The sequence below is a fragment of the Homo sapiens genome, chromosome 16 (genome assembly GCF_000001405.40).
Source record: "Homo sapiens chromosome 16, GRCh38.p14 Primary Assembly".
NCBI lineage: Eukaryota > Metazoa > Chordata > Mammalia > Primates > Hominidae > Homo > Homo sapiens.
In genome coordinates, this window is record NC_000016.10 from 34,949,886 (window position 1) to 34,966,721 (window position 16,836).

Sequence of the window (16,836 nt, forward strand, 5' to 3'; positions counted from 1 at the left end):
GGTGATTCCATTTGTTTCCACTCTATGATTCCATTCTATTCCATTCCATGATGAATCCATTCGGGTACAAAAGATGATTCCATTCAATGATGATTCTATTCCTGTTCATTAGATGATTCCTTTCAATTCCATTCGATGATGATTACATGCTATTCAATTCTCTGATGATTCCATTCCGATCCATTTGATAATTCCATTGGATTCCATTCGATGACGATTCGTTTCTATTCCATTCAATGATGATTCCATTCGTGTCCATTAGGTGATTCCATTACATTCCATTCGTTGATGATTCCATTTTTATTCCATTTGATGATGATTCCATTCGTGTAAATTAGTTGATTCCATTCTATTCTATTCGATGATGATTCCATTCTTGTAAATTAGTTGATTCCATTCTATTCCATTCGATGATGATTTCATTTAGGTCCATTCAATGATTCCATTCTACTCCATTCAATGTTGGTTCCATTCAAGTCCATTTGATGTTTCTATTCGAGTCCATTCAATGATTGCTTTCAATTCCATTCGCTAATGATTCCATTTGATTCCATTCAATGTTGATTCCATTCGATTTCATTCACTGATCCTATTCGATTCCACTTGATGATGATTCCGTTCGATTCAATTGGATGATTCCATTTAATTACATTTGATGATGATTCCATTCAATTCCATTCGATGATTCCATTTGATTCTATTCAATGATGATTCCATTCGAGTCCATTCAATGATTCCTTCTGATTCTATTCAATGATGTTTCCACTTGAGTCCATTGAGTCAATGGTGTTTAAATTAGATTCCATTTGATGATTCCATTTGATTCCATTCAATGATGATTGCATTCGATTCCATTCGATGATTCCATTTGATTCCATTCAAAGATGATTCCATTCGATTCAATTCGATAATTCCATTTGATTTCATCCTATGATTCCTATGGATTCCATTTGATGATGATTCCATTCAAGTCCATTCAATGACGCCATTCAATTCCATTTGATGATGATTCCATTCGAGTGCATTCGATGATTCCAATCGATTCCATTCAAAGATGATTCCATTCAAGTCCATCCAAGGACTCTTTTCAATTCCATTCTATAATGATTCCATTTGAGTCCATTTGATGTTTCGATTCGAGTCCTTTCAGTGATTCCATTTGATTCCATTCGATGATGATTCGGTTTGAGTCCATTCGATGCTTCCCTTTTCATCCATTTTATGATTCCATTCGAGTCCAACTGATGATTCCATTCAATTCCATTCTATGATGATTCCGCATGATTCCATTCGATGATGATTCCATGTGATTCCATTCGATGATGATTCCTTATGATTCCATTCGATTATGATTCATTACGAGTTCATTCGACGATTCCACATGATTCCATTCGATGATGATTCCATTCGAATACATTCAATGATGAGATTCCTTTCCATTCAATGATGATTCCATTCAAATTCGTTCAGTGATTCCATTCGATTCCATTCAATGATAATTCCATTCGAGTCCATTCGATGATTCCATTCTATTCCATTTGATGATGATTCCATTCGTGTCTATTCAATGATTGTATTCGAGTCCATTCCATGATTCCATTCGATTCCATTCGATGATGATTGCATTTGAGTCCATTCAATGATTCCATTCGATTCCATTCGAGAATGACTGCATTCGGTACCATTCGATGATTCCATTCGATTCCATTTGATGATTCCATTTGATTCCATGCGATGATGATTCCATTTGATTCCATTCCATGATGCCGTTAGATTGCATTTGATGATGATTCCATTCAAGGCCATTGGATGATTCCATTCGATTACATTCGATGAAGATTCCATTCGAGTCGATTAAATGATTCCATTCGATTCCATTATTTGATAATTCCATTTGATTCCATTCGATGATTCTATTCGATTCCATTCAATGATGATTCCATTTGATTTCATTCTATGATTACATTCGATTTCTTTTGATGATGATTCCATGCGTGTCCATTCGATGATTCCATAAGATTCCATTTGATGAAGATTCCATTAGATTTCATTCGATGATTCCATTGGATTCCATTCATTGATGATTCCATTTGATTCCATTCAATGATAATTCCATTCGATTCCCTTCATTGATGATTCCATTGGATTACATTCGATGATGATTTAATTCGACTCCATTTGATGATGATTCCATTTGATTTCATTCGATGATTCCATTCGATTCCATTCGATGATGATTCCATCTGGTTTAATTTGATGATTCCATTCAATTCCTTTCAGTGATGATCCCATTCAATTCCATTTGAGTATGATTTCATTTGATTCCATTGCATGATGATTCCATTCGAGTCCATTCGATGATTCCAATCGAGTCCATTCGATGATACCATTCGAGTCCATTTGATGATTCCATTGGACTCCATTTTATGATTATTCCATTCAATGTTTCCATTCAATTCTATTCAATGATGATTCCATTCAATTTCGTTCAATGCTGATTCCTTTCAATTCCATTTGATGATTCCATTTGATTCCACTTGAAGATTCCATTCGAATACAATCGACGATGATTGCATTCGATTCCATTTGGTGATTCAATTCTATTCTATTCTACGATGATTCCATTTGATTCCATTCGATGATGACTGCATTCAATTCCATTCGAAGATTCCATCTGATTCCATTTCATGATGATTCTGATCGATTCCATTCAATGATTCCATTCGATTCCATTCGATGATTCCATTTGATTCCATTCAATAATGATTCCATTCGAGTCCATTCGATGATTCCATTCAAGCCCATTCGATAACTCCATTTGAGTCCAATGGATGATTCAATTCGAGTCCATTCGATCATTCCCTTTAAGTCCATTTGATGATGATTCCATTTGTGTCCATTCGATGATTCCATTTGAATCCATTCGATGATTCCTTTCGATTCCATTAGATAATGATTCCTTTCAAGACCATTCGATGATACCATTCAATTAATTTGATGATGATTCCAATTCAATTCCATTCGATGATTCCATCAGATTCCATTTGAGGATGATTCCATTCGGTTCCGTTCGATGACGATTCCATGCGATTCCACTTGATGATGACTCTTTTCGTTTCCATTCGTTGATGATTCCATTCGGTTCCATTCGATGATGATTCCTTTGGATTCCATTTGATGATGATTCCATTCGACTCCATTTGGTGTTGATCCTTTTCGATTCCATTCGATGATGATTCAATTTGATTCCATTTGATGATGATTCCATTCAAATCCGATCAATGATTTCATTCGATTCCGTTTGATGATGATTCCGTTCGATTCGATTCGATGATTCCATTCAATTCCTTTCGATGATTATTCCATTCAAGACCATTCGGTGATTTATTTTGATGCCAATTGAAGATTATTCCACCTGATTCCATTCAATGATACCATTCATTGATGATTCCATTCGAGTGCATTCGATGATACTATTCAATTCCATTCAATGATGATTCCATTCGATTCCATTCGATGATTTCATTCAATTCCATTCTATGATGATTCCATTCAAGTGTATTTGATGATTTCATTGGACTCCATTTGGTGATGATTCCATTCAATGATTCCATTCAATTCTATTCGATGATGATTCCATTCGGGTCCAATTGATGATTCCATTTGATTGCTTTCGATGATGATTCCATTCGATTCCATTCAATGTTGATACCATTCGGGTCCATTGGATGATTCCATTGTATTGCATTCGATGGTGATTCCATTCAAGTACATTCAATGATTCCATTCAAGTCCATTGGATGATTTCTTTTGATTCCATTCGATGATGATTCCATTCGAGTACATTCAATGATTCCATTCAAGACCATTGGATGATTCCTTTCAATTCCACTCGATAATAATTCCATTCTAGTCCATTCGATGATTTCTTCTGATTCCATTCGATGATGATTCCATCGAGTCCATTCGATTGTTCCATTTGATTCCAGTTGATGTTGTCTGCATTCGGTTCCATTCTATGATGATTCCTATGGACTCCATTCCATGACTCCATTGGATACCATTCATTGATGATTCCAATTGATTCCATTTGATGATGATTCTATTTGATTCCATTCGATGATTCCATTTGACTCCGTTCAATGACGATTCCAATCGAGTCTATTCGATGATTCCATTAGATTCCATTCAATGATGTTTCCATTCGAGTCCATTCGATATTTCCTTTCGATTCCAGCTGACGTTGATTCCATTTGAGTCCATTCGATGATTCCATTCGTGTGTGTTCCATGATTTCATATGATTCCATTCGATGATGATGCCATTCGAGTACATTTGATGATTCCATTCAAGTCCATTATATGATTCCATTCGACTCCATTCGATGATGATTCCATTCGAGTCCTTTCAATGATGATTCCATTCGATTCCATTCAATGAGTATGTTGTATTCCATTCTTTGTTTTATTCGATTATTTTTGATGAAGATTCCATTCAATTTATTCGATGATCCCATTCGAATCTATTCAATGATGATTCCATTTGCTTCCATTTGATGAAAATTCCATTCGATTCCATTCGATGATGATTCCATTCTATTCTATTCGATGCCGATTCTATTCAATTCCTTTCGATGATGATTCCATTTGATTCCATTTGATGATTCCATTCGATTCCATTCGATAATGATTCCATTTCAGACCTTTCGATGATTCCATTCAATTCCATTCAATGATGATTCCATTCGAGTCCATTCAATAATTCCATTCAAGTCCATTCTATGATTCCATCTGTTTCCATTCGATGATGATTCCATTCGAGCCCATTCGATGATTCCATTTGATTCCATTCCATGATGATTCCATTGAAGCACAGTCGATGATTGCATTCGTGTCCATTTGATGATTCCATTCGATTCCATTTGATTACAATTCCATTCAATTCCATTCGATGATGACTCTGTTCGGTTCCATTTGATGATGAATGCATTCGATTCCTTTAAGTGATGATTCCATTCAATTACATTTGATGATGATTCCATTCAATTACATTCGATGATGATTCCATTCGAGCCCATTCGATGATTCCATTTGATTCCATTCCATGATGATTCCATTGAAGCACAGTCGATGATTGCATTCGTGTCCATTTGATGATTCCATTCGATTCCATTTGATTACAATTCCATTCAATTCCATTCGATGATGACTCTGTTCGGTTCCATTTGATGATGAATGCATTCGATTCCTTTAAGTGATGATTCCATTTAATTACATTTGATGATGATTCCATTCAATTACATTCGATGATGATTCCATTCGATTCCATACAATGACGATTCTATTCGATTTGATTTCATGATGATTCCATTCAATTCCATTCGTTGATGATTCCATTTTGTCCATTCAATGTTTCCATTCGATTCGATTTGATGATTATTCCATTCACGTCCGTTAGATGATTCCATTCTATTCCATTCGAAGATGATTCCATTTTGTGCCATTCAATTATTCCATTTAATTTCATTCGATGATGATTCTATTGATTTCATTTGATGATTCCTTTCCATTCCATTTGATGATTATTCCATAGAAGTCTATTCGATGATTCCATTCAATTCCATTTGATGACAACTCTATTCGTGTCCATTCCATGATTTTATGCAATTTCATTTGATGATTATTATATTCGATTCTATTCAATGATTCCATTCTATTCCATTTGGTGATGATTCCATTCGAGTCCATTCAATGATTCCATTCGAGTACTTTTGATTATTCCTTTCGATTCCATTTGATGATGATTCCATTAGAGTCGATTCGATGATACCATTCGATTCCATTCAATGGCGATTCCATTCATATCCATTTGATAATTCCATTTGATTCCATTCGATGATGATTCCTTTCGAGTCCATTCAGTGATTCCATTCAAGTCCATTCGATGATTCCTTTTGATTCCATTTGATGATGATTCCAATCGAGACCATTCTATGATTCCATTTGATTTAATTTGATGATGATTCAATTCGATTCTGTTCGATGATTCCATTCTATTCCATTCAATGATGATTCCATTTGGGTCAATTCGATGATTCCATTTGACTCCATGTAATGATTCCATTGGGTTCAATTCGATGATGATTACATTGGATTCCATTCAATGATTCCATTCGATTCCATTCGGTGATTATTCCATCTGATTCCTGTCAATGATGATTCCATTTGATTCCATTCTTTGATGATTCCATTTGATTCCATTCGATGCTGATTCGATTTGATTCCATTCGATGATGATTCCATTCGATTCCATTCGATGATGATTCCATTCGATTTCATTTGATGATTCTATTCGATTCCATTCGATGTTGACTCAATTCTATTCCATTCGCGATTCCATTCAATTCCATCCGATGATAATTCCAATCGATTCCATTCGATGATGATTCCCTTCGATTGCATTCGATGATTTTTCCATTCGAGTGCATTCGAAGACAACATTCGGTTCCATTCAATCATAATTCCATTCGAGTCCATTCGAAGATTAGGTTTGATTCCATTCGATGATGATTACGTTCAAGTCCATTCGATGATTCCATTCCATTCCATTTGATGATGATTCTTTTTGATTCCATTTGATGATGATTCCATTTGATTCCATTCAATGATCATTCCATTTGATTTCATTTGAAGATTCCGTTTGTTTCCATTCTGAGATTATTCTATTCTATTGCATTCGATGATTCCATTCAATTCCATTTGATGAGGATTCTATACGATTCCATTTGATGATGACTCCATTCGATTCCATTCCATAATGATTCAATTCGTGTCTATTCGATGTTTCTTTTCGATTTCATTCAACAATGATTGCATTCCAGTCCGTTAGATCATTCTATTTGATTCCATTTGATGATGATTCCATTCGATGATTCCTTTCTATTTCATTCGATGATGATTACATTCGAATCCATTTGATTATTCCATTCCATTCAATGATGATTACATTCGAGTCCATTCAATGATTCTATTCAATTCCATTCAACGATGATTCCATTCGAGTCCATTCGATAATTCAATGCGATTTCATTCGATGACGATTACATTCGATTCTATTCGATGATTCCATTCGATTCCATCTGATGATGACTCCATTCGAGTCCATTCGATGATTCCATTCAATTCTATTCGAAGATGATTCCATTGGATTCCATTCCATGATTCCATTCTATTCCATTTGACGACCATTCCTTTCGAGTCCATTCAATGATTCCATGTGATTTCATTCGATGATGATTCCATTTGATTCCATTCGATGTTTCCATTCGACTACATTTGATGATTGTTTCAATTATATTCGATGATGATTCCATTCTAGTCCATTCGTGGTTTCCATTTGATTCCATTCAATGATGATTCCATTCGGTTCCATTAGATGATTCCATTCGATTCCATTTGATGATGATTCTATTCGAGTCCATTCGATGATCCCATTTGATTCCATTTCATGATGATTCCATTCGGGTACAATAGATGATTACATTCGATGATGTTTCTATTGCAGTCCATTAGATGATTCCATTCAATTCCAATCGATGATGATTCCATTCTATTCAATTCTATGGTGATTCCATTCAGATCCATTTGATGATTCCTTTGGATACCATTCGATGATGATTCTATTCTATTCCATTCAATGATGATTCCATTCGTGTCCGATAGATGATTCCATTTGATTCCATTCAATGATTATTCCATTCTATTCCATTCGATGATGATTCCATTTGATAACATTCTATGATTCCATTTGATTCCATTCGATGTTGATTCCATTCGATTCCATTTGATGGTTCTAATCGATTCCATTCGATGATGATTCCATTCGATCCCATTCGTTGATGATTCCATTTGATAACATTCTATGATTCCATTCGATTCCATTTGATGATGTTTCCATTCAATTCCATTTGATGATTCCATTTGATTACATTTCATGATGATTCCATTTGATTCCATGCGATGATTCCATTCGATTCCATTCGATGATGATTCCATTCCAGTCCATTCTATGACTCCTTCTGGTTTTATTCAATTATGATTCCATTCGAGTCCATTCAATGGTGATTCCATTCGATTCCATTTGATGATTCTATTCGATTCCATTCAATGATGATTGCATTCGATTCCATTCGATGATTCCATTCCATTCCATTCAAAGATGATTCCATTCGATTCCATCCGATAATTCCATTCCATTTCATTCGATGATTCCAGTGGATTCCATTTGATGATGATTCCATTCGAGTCCATTCAATGATTCCATTCAATTCCATTCGATGATGATTCCATTTGAGTGCATTCGATGATTCCAATCGATTCCATTCGATGATGATTCCCTTTGAGCCCATCCGAAGAATCTATTAGATTCCATTCTATAGTGATTCCGTTCGAGTCCATTTTATCATCTGATTCCATTCCTTTTGATGATTCCATTTGATTCCATTCGATGATGATTCCTTTCGATTCCCTTCATTGATGATTACATTAGATTACATTTGATGATGTTTCCATTTGACTCCCTTCGATGATGATTCCATTCGATTTCATTCGATGGTTCCATTTGATTCCATTCGATGATGATTCAATTCGATTCCTTTCGAAGATTCCATTCAATGATGATTCCATTCGATGATTCCATTCGATTCCATTTGATGATGAGCCATTCGATTCAATTCCATGATGATTCCATTTGATTCAATTCGATGATGTTTCCATTCTATTCCATTCGTTGATGATTCCTTTTGATTCCATTAGACGATGATTCCATTCGACTCCATTTGATGATGATTCCATTTGAGTCCGTTTGATGATGATTCCATTCGATTTTATTAGATGCTTCTATTTGATTCCATTCCATGATGATTCCATCTCATTCCCTTCAATGATTCCATTTGATTCCATTCAGTGATGATTCCATTCTATTCCATCTGATGATGATTTCATTTGATTCCATTCGATGATTATTCCATTTGAGTCCATTCGATGATTCTATTTGATTCTGCTCAATGGTGATTCTATTTGAGTCCATTCGATGATTCCATTCAAGTCCATTCGATGATGATTTCATTCGAGGCCATTCGATGAATACATTCGAGTCCACTTGATGATTTCATTCGATTCCACTCGATAATGATTGCTTTCAAGTCCATTCAATGATTCCATTCGAATCCATTCGATAATTACATTCGATTCCATTTAATGATGATTAAATTTGAGGCCATTCGAAGTTTCCATTCGAGTCCATTCAGTGATTCCCTGTGATTACAATCGATGAGGACTCCATTCGAGTCCATTCGATGATTCCATTAGGTTCCATTCGATGATGATTCCATTAGAGTTCATTCAAAGTTTCCTTTTGAATCTGTTCGATGATTCCATTTGATTCCACTTGATGATGATTCTTTTCGAGTCCATTCAATGATTCCTTTTGAGTGCCTTCAATGATTCCATTCAATTCCGTTCGATGATGATTCCATTTGAATCCATTCAGTGATTCCATTCTGTTGCATTTGATGATTCCATTCGGTTTCATTCGATGATATTTTCATTCGATTCCATTCGAAGATTCCATTTGATGATGATTCCATTCGATTCCATTCGATGATTCCATTTGATTCCATTTGATCATGAGCCATTTGATTCAATTCCATGATGATTCCATTTGATTCAATTCGATGATGTTTCCATGCAATTCCATTCGATGATGATTCCTTTTGATTCCATTAGACGATGATTCCATTTGACTCCATTTGATGATGAATCCATATGAGTCCGTTCGATGATGATTCCATTCGATTTCATTCGATGCTTCTATTTGATTGCATTCAATGATGATTCCATCGCATTCCCTTCAGTGATTCCATTTGACTCCATTCAGTGATGATTCCATTCTATTCCATCTGATGATGATTTCATTTGATTCCATTTGATGATGATTCCATTCGAGTCCATTTGATGATTCTATTCGATTCCACTCTATGATGATTCTATTTGAGTCCATTCGATGATTCCATTCGAGTCCATTCAATTATTCCTTTCAATTCCATTTGATGATGATTCCATTCGATTCTATTCAATGATTCCATTCCATTCCATTCGATGATGATTCCATTCGAGTTCATGTGATGATTCCATTCGATTCTGTTCGATGATGATTTCATTCGAGGCCATTCGATGATTGCATTCAAGTCCATTCGATGTTTTCATTCGATTCCACTTGATGATGATTGCTTTCGAGTCCATTCGATGATTCTATTCAAGTCCATTCAATAATTCCATTTGATTCCATTTAATGGTGATTCAATTTGAGGCCATTTGACGTTTCCATTCGAGTCCATTCAGTGATTCCCTGTGATTACAATCGATGAGGGCTCCATTCGAGTCCATTCGATGATTCCATTAGGTTCCATTTGATAATGATTCCATTCGAGTCCATTCAAAGATTCCTTTCGAGTCCGTTCGATGATTCCATTCAATTCCACTTGAAGATGATTCCTTTCGAGTCCATTCGATGATTCCTTTCGAGTGCCTTCAATGATTCCATTCAATTCCATTCGATGACGATTCCATTCGAATCCACTCAATGAGTCCATTGTGTTGCATTCGATGATTCCATTTGGTTTCATTCGATGATGATTCCATTCGAGTCCATTTGATGATTCCATTCGATTCCATTCGAGGGTGATTCCATTCGAGTCCATTCGATGATTCCATTCGATTCCATTCCATGGTGATTCCATTAGATTCAATTCGATGATGATTCCATTCTATTCCTTTCAATGAAGATTCCATTCGTGTCCATTCAATGATTCCTTTTGATTCCATTCGATGGTGATTCCATTCGATTCCATTCGATGATGATTCCATTCGTGTCCATTCGATGATTCCATTCAAGTACATTTGATGATTCCACTGGATTCCATTCGATGATTATTCCTTTGGAGTCCATTCGGTGATTCCTTTAGATTTAACTTGCAGATGATTCCTTTCAATTCCATTCCATGATACCATTTGATTCAATTCGTTGGTGATTCCTTTTGATTCCATTTGATGATTCCATTCCATTCCATTTGATGATGATTCCATTCGATTTCTTTTGATGATTCTGTATGATTCAATTCGACGATGTTTCCATTCGTGTCCATTTGATGATTCCATTCTTTTCCATTCAATGATGATTCTATTCGAGTATATTCGATGATTCCATTCGAATCCACTCAATGATGATTCCATTCGAGTCCATTCGATGATTCCATTTGATCCCATTCATTGACGATTCCATTCGATTCCATTATATGATTCCATTGGATTGCATTCGATGATTCCATTCGAGTACATTCAATGATTCCACTCGATTCCCTTTGATGATTATTCCATTAGAGTCCATTTGGTGATTCCTGTGGATTCCACACAAAGATGACTCCATTCGATTCCATTTGATGATACCATTCGATTCCATTCGTTGATGATTCCATTAGAGTGCATTCAATGATACCATTAGATTCCATTCGATGATGATTCCATTCGATTCCATTCAGTGATTCCATTTGATTCCACTCAATGATGATTTCATTCGAGTCAATTCGATGATTCCACTGGCCTCCATTTGATGATGATTCCATTCAATGTTTCCATTCGATTCTATTCGATAATGATTCCATTCGATTCCATTTGATGATGATTCCATTGGATTTCATTCGATGATTCCATTTGAATCCATTCAATGATTCCATTCGATTGTATTCAATGATGATTCCATTCAATTCCATTCGAAGATGACTGCATTCGATTCCATTCAATGATTCAATTTGATTCCATGCGATGATGATTGCGATCAATTCCGTTTGATGATTCCATTCGATTCCATTCTATAATGATTCCTTTCGAGTCCATTCGATGTTTCCATTCGAGCCCATTCAATAATTCCACTTGAGTCCAATTGAAGATTCCATTCGTTTCCATTAAATGATTCCTTTAGAGTCCATTCAATCATTCCGTTAGAGTCTGTTTGACGATGATTCCATTCGAGTCCATTCGATCATTCCATTTGAGTCCGTTCGATAATTCCATTAGAATCCATTCGATTATTGCTTTCAATTCCATTCCACGATGATTCCATTTGAGTGAATTCGATGATTCCATTTGATTCCATTTGATGATGATTCCATTCGTGTCCATTCGGTGATTCCACTTAATTTCATTTGATGATGATTCCATTCGACTCCATTCAGTGATTCCATTTGATTCCATTTGATGATGATTCCATTCGAGTCCATTCTACGATTACATTCGATTCCATTCGATGATGATTCTACTAGAGTCCATTTGAAGATTCCATTCAAGTCCCTTCATTGATTCCATCCAATTACATTTGATGATGATTCCATTCGAGTAGATTCGTTGATTCCATTCGATTCCATTTGATGATTCCACTGGAATCCATTCAATTATTCCATTCGAGTCCATTCGATGATTCCATTCGATTACATTCAATGATAGTTCAATTTGAGTCCATTCGATGATGATTTCATTGGATTCCATTTGATGATTCCACTTGATTCCATTCGATGATTCCCTTCGATTGCTTTCGTTGATGATTCCATTCCATTGCATTCAATGATTCCATTCGATTCTATTCCACTATGATTCCTTTTGATTCCATTCTATGATGATTCCATTCGATTCCATTTGATGATGATTCCATTGGATTCCTTTCACAGCTTTCACAGCAAGATGTTTCCAATATTTAGAAATGGGCCTTGTGCATTATATACTTCATAAGAGCTTGGAAAACTCTCACCCAGGTATTACCAAATGCCAAACATCTCTGCATGCTTGCCATGTTCTCCCCACAGCCAAAATCCATTCTAGGTAAAATGCTGGCCTTGGCTGCTAAGGAAGTAATCTGGGGTTGTCAAGTGTTTCTCGCTCTCTCTGGGTCTATGGCAAAAAGGAGACACTGAAAGGCATTAAGTTTACTGCCACCTTTAGAGGAACTTGTCAAAGAAACACTCTTTGACTTTCCCCACCGGACTGTTATAGTCATATGTGGCCAACACCAACCTGAGTTTTTATAGCAAGTATTACATTATGATCACAATCACCTTCAAGTCCACATTCTAAGTCTTAGCCAGGTTTTGCAGAAACTCTGATGGTGTCCCACAGACCTTTAAGTGGATACAATCAATGAATTTGGAAAATAACTTGAATTTGGCTTGCTCACTGTTTCAACAGAATGCACTGGTGAATCTTGCTCTGTCATTGTATCTCACATGTGTGGCTATCCGACTTGCTGTGTTAGAAGTCAATGTTCCAGAATGTCGACTTCTACAAATACCCTTGTATAGAGCAAAGGGGAAACTCTTCAAGGCAAATGGAGTGTATGTTGTATCAGCGGGGGCTCTCTAGTCTTGGATTTCAAACTGTGATGTTTATTGTGCAGAAAGGAGATGGTTCTTTTCTCTATTTTATTTTTAATTTTTGTGATACATAGTATTGGTGGGGTACATGACAGGTTTTGATACAGGCATGCAATGTGAAATAAGCACATAATGGAGAATGGGATATCCATACCCCCAATCATTTATTCTTTGAGTTACAAACAATCCACTTACACTCTTTATGTTATTTTCAAATATATGATTAAGTTATTATTGACACTACTCACCCAGTTGTGCTATCAAATAGTAAGTTTTATTCATTCTATTTTTTGGTAGCCATGAACCATTCCTACCTCCCCCCACCCTCTCACTACCCTTCCCAACTCTGGTAAACACTCTTCTACTCTCTATGTCCATGAGTTCAATTATTTTGATTTTTAGATTCCAGAAATAAGTGAGAATGTGTGATGTTGGTCTTTTCTGTGCCTGGTTTATTTCACTTAACATAATGATGTTCAGTTCCATTCATGTTGTTGCAAATGACTGGCTTTCATTTTTTATGGCTAAATAGTACTCCATTGTGTATCTGTACCACATTTTCTTTATCCATTCATCTGCTGATGGACACTTAGGTTGCTTCCAAATCTTAGTTATCATAAACAGTGCTGCAGCAAACATAAACGTGCAGATATCTCTTTGATAAAGTGATTTCCTTTCTTTTGGGTATACACCAAAAATGAGATTGTTCAATGATATGGTTGATATGGCAGATCAATGTTTAGTTTTTTGAGCAACCTTCAAACTGTTCAAGGAGATGGGCCTGTTGTGATTATTTCATTGAGATATCCAACTTATGAGCATTTGAAAAGAATGCAAATTGCTGGAAAATCAGAGTGAAGAATGCAAAGTGATCAGGCTACAGTGTCATATCATTTTTCATTCTGAGGTGAAAAAGGCAGAGCATTTAATAGTAAATACCTTTCCAGAGTAAAATCTTAGGTGTATTGTTTTAGTGCCACAGTCTTGAACGATGGGCCCCTGGAAGCTCTCGACATCTCTTCTTGAGTGGAGAAAGTGTTAATCCCCAAAGTAAATGGAGTAGTACATTTTCACCTTTTGACAAGAGGGCAGAAACTTGATAATTCTGAGTGCTATTTAATAGTCTCTGCTTTAATTGAAAATGCAATACAAGCCAACTATGCTGCTGCTAACTCCTTGCTGGACATGTTCTGCTACTATCACAGGAACTGTGGTCTCACTGGACAATCAATTAACTGGAGAGCCTTGAGTCTTGAATGACTGCTGAAAAAACATTATCTTCAAAGCATTTTAGCCACCAAAGGAATACTAACTTTTCAAATACCGCACATCCATCAGTATCTTGAATCATGCTTGATTCTGAATAATTCTCAACAAGCCATGTCAAGGGGGCTGTCTGGCTTTGGATTTGAAATGGTGATGTTTATTATAAAGAAAGGAGATTATTTTGTTGTGATTATTTTATTGAGAAATCAAACATCTAAGCAGTTTACTAAAAGCAAGTTGCTGGAAAATCAGAATGAAGAATGCAGAATGATCAGACTACAATATACTGTCAAATTTTATTTCAAGAAATTACAGGAAAACTTTCCTAAGTTCCATCTAACAGAATTTATTTCTGCAAAGAATTCTAAGATAAATTCAATTTTCTGGTAGAGTTTGACTTGGTTTTTACTCATTATTCATCTTAAGTATCAACAGATGAGCTACAGAATTCATGAATACAAAACTCAAGACATTCCAGTATCCACATTGCTTACATAATTAGGCATAGACTCAATGTTAGCTATGACAATTGAAAATAAGCTCTTCTGTGATTTAACGGTTCATATTCCTCCAACCCAACTGCTTGATCCAGATGCAGCTCTGCAGATCTTAAAATTGTTTCTGGAAGAAAAATCAACTAAGACTTAAGAGAAGAAAAGAGTGGCCATAATCCACCTGAAATTAAAAAAAAGACCCCAGCTATGCAGCATGCCAAATCAGAATGAAAACAGAGGTACAAGATTATAAACAGAATGCATCAAACTTAAGTTTACCTAAAGTTTATTTTTGTCAGGCAACCTTGATCAATATTAAATTGACATTCTAACTAACAAGTCTTTATATGTGTCAGTGAATTTATATATGTTAGTAAACATTCCCTATATTAATTAATTTTATTATCCAAGGCTAAATCTAAAATGTTTAAGTAAAATTAAAAATAAGTCTTCATTGATCAAAAAATAAAGTTTGTTAAATTTAGTACTTTCCCAATGAAATTGGTCATTGTTGGTGTTTTTGTTTGGGGCACCTGCAAAACTCCACTGAAAATAAATTAGTGGAAATTATTCCTAAAAACCAAAAACTGAAGAATTTTGTCAATTGGTTTCACAAAGAAAAAAAGGAAATTTGCTTAATTAGCAGAGTGTATCATCTTTATTATTTTTGTTGTTCTTGGATCAGTGTTCTGAGAGAGATATGATGGCAGTAATTACATAATTAAATATGTAGATTTTTAATTTTTATTATTTATTTATTTATTTGTCTCTCACCCAGACTGAAGTGCAGTGGCATGATATTGGCTCACTGCAACCTCTGCCTCCTGGGTTCAAGCGATTCTCCTGCCTCAGCCTCCTGAGTAGCTGGGATTACAGGCACGTGCCACCACACCAGCCTAATTTTTGTATTTTTAGTAGAGAAGAAGTTTCACCATGTTGGCCAAGCTGCTCTCAAACTCCTGACCTCAAGTGATCCTCTTGCCTTGGCCTCCCAGATTATTTTACCTGGCTGATAAAATAATCTGTACAACAAATCTCCATGACATAAGTTTACCTATATAACAAGGTAATAGGAACCTGCACATATACCCCTGACTTAAAAGTTAAAAAAAAAAAACTATTTTGGGCAAAGAAAAAGGAGCACAATTGCTGAATTGTATGCTAAGGGCATGTTTAGTTTTGTAAGGAACTGGCCATATTATTGCCATTTTTAAAAAAGATAGTCCATGGGACCATGTTTGCATAATGAAGCATTGATTTCATGAAGAAATAATAACGGCACAAAGAAAGATGTGGGCCAGGCGCAGTGGCTCACACCTGTAATCCCAGCACTTTGGGAGGTTGAGGTGGGTGGATCACCTGAGGTCAGGAGTTCAAGACCAGCCTGACCAACATGGTGAAAACCCGTCTTTACTAAAAATACAAAAATTAGCCAGGCATGGTGGCGGATGCCTGTAATCCCAGCTACTTGTGAGGCTGAGGCAGGAGAATCTTTTGAACCTGGGAGGTAGAGGTTGCAGGGAGCCAAGATCATGCCACTGCACTCCAGCTTGGGTGACAGATTGAGACTTTGCCTCAAAAAACAAACAAACAAACAAC

At 35.9% G+C, this 16,836-nt stretch overlaps 8 annotated features.

Moving 5' to 3' along the window:
* Positions 4,141-5,017: an enhancer, noted in NCBI's record as "OCT4-NANOG hESC enhancer chr16:34188397-34189273 (GRCh37/hg19 assembly coordinates)". NCBI's record gives its function as "activates a minimal SCP1, AML or CMV promoter by ChIP-STARR-seq in primed H9 embryonic stem cells {active_cell/tissue: H9 hESC(primed)}" and the evidence as "EXISTENCE:reporter gene assay evidence [ECO:0000049][PMID:30033119]".
* Positions 5,685-6,570: an enhancer, noted in NCBI's record as "OCT4-NANOG hESC enhancer chr16:34189941-34190826 (GRCh37/hg19 assembly coordinates)". NCBI's record gives its function as "activates a minimal SCP1, AML or CMV promoter by ChIP-STARR-seq in primed H9 embryonic stem cells {active_cell/tissue: H9 hESC(primed)}" and the evidence as "EXISTENCE:reporter gene assay evidence [ECO:0000049][PMID:30033119]".
* Positions 6,996-7,517: an enhancer, noted in NCBI's record as "OCT4-NANOG hESC enhancer chr16:34191252-34191773 (GRCh37/hg19 assembly coordinates)". NCBI's record gives its function as "activates a minimal SCP1, AML or CMV promoter by ChIP-STARR-seq in primed H9 embryonic stem cells {active_cell/tissue: H9 hESC(primed)}" and the evidence as "EXISTENCE:reporter gene assay evidence [ECO:0000049][PMID:30033119]".
* Positions 7,570-8,412: an enhancer, noted in NCBI's record as "OCT4-NANOG hESC enhancer chr16:34191826-34192668 (GRCh37/hg19 assembly coordinates)". NCBI's record gives its function as "activates a minimal SCP1, AML or CMV promoter by ChIP-STARR-seq in primed H9 embryonic stem cells {active_cell/tissue: H9 hESC(primed)}" and the evidence as "EXISTENCE:reporter gene assay evidence [ECO:0000049][PMID:30033119]".
* Positions 8,413-9,255: an enhancer, noted in NCBI's record as "OCT4-NANOG hESC enhancer chr16:34192669-34193511 (GRCh37/hg19 assembly coordinates)". NCBI's record gives its function as "activates a minimal SCP1, AML or CMV promoter by ChIP-STARR-seq in primed H9 embryonic stem cells {active_cell/tissue: H9 hESC(primed)}" and the evidence as "EXISTENCE:reporter gene assay evidence [ECO:0000049][PMID:30033119]".
* Positions 9,797-10,308: an enhancer, noted in NCBI's record as "OCT4-NANOG hESC enhancer chr16:34194053-34194564 (GRCh37/hg19 assembly coordinates)". NCBI's record gives its function as "activates a minimal SCP1, AML or CMV promoter by ChIP-STARR-seq in naive H9 embryonic stem cells {active_cell/tissue: H9 hESC(naive)}" and the evidence as "EXISTENCE:reporter gene assay evidence [ECO:0000049][PMID:30033119]".
* Positions 10,309-10,818: an enhancer, noted in NCBI's record as "OCT4-NANOG-H3K27ac hESC enhancer chr16:34194565-34195074 (GRCh37/hg19 assembly coordinates)". NCBI's record gives its function as "activates a minimal SCP1, AML or CMV promoter by ChIP-STARR-seq in naive and primed H9 embryonic stem cells {active_cell/tissue: H9 hESC(naive and primed)}" and the evidence as "EXISTENCE:reporter gene assay evidence [ECO:0000049][PMID:30033119]".
* Positions 11,331-11,840: an enhancer, noted in NCBI's record as "OCT4-NANOG-H3K27ac hESC enhancer chr16:34195587-34196096 (GRCh37/hg19 assembly coordinates)". NCBI's record gives its function as "activates a minimal SCP1, AML or CMV promoter by ChIP-STARR-seq in naive H9 embryonic stem cells {active_cell/tissue: H9 hESC(naive)}" and the evidence as "EXISTENCE:reporter gene assay evidence [ECO:0000049][PMID:30033119]".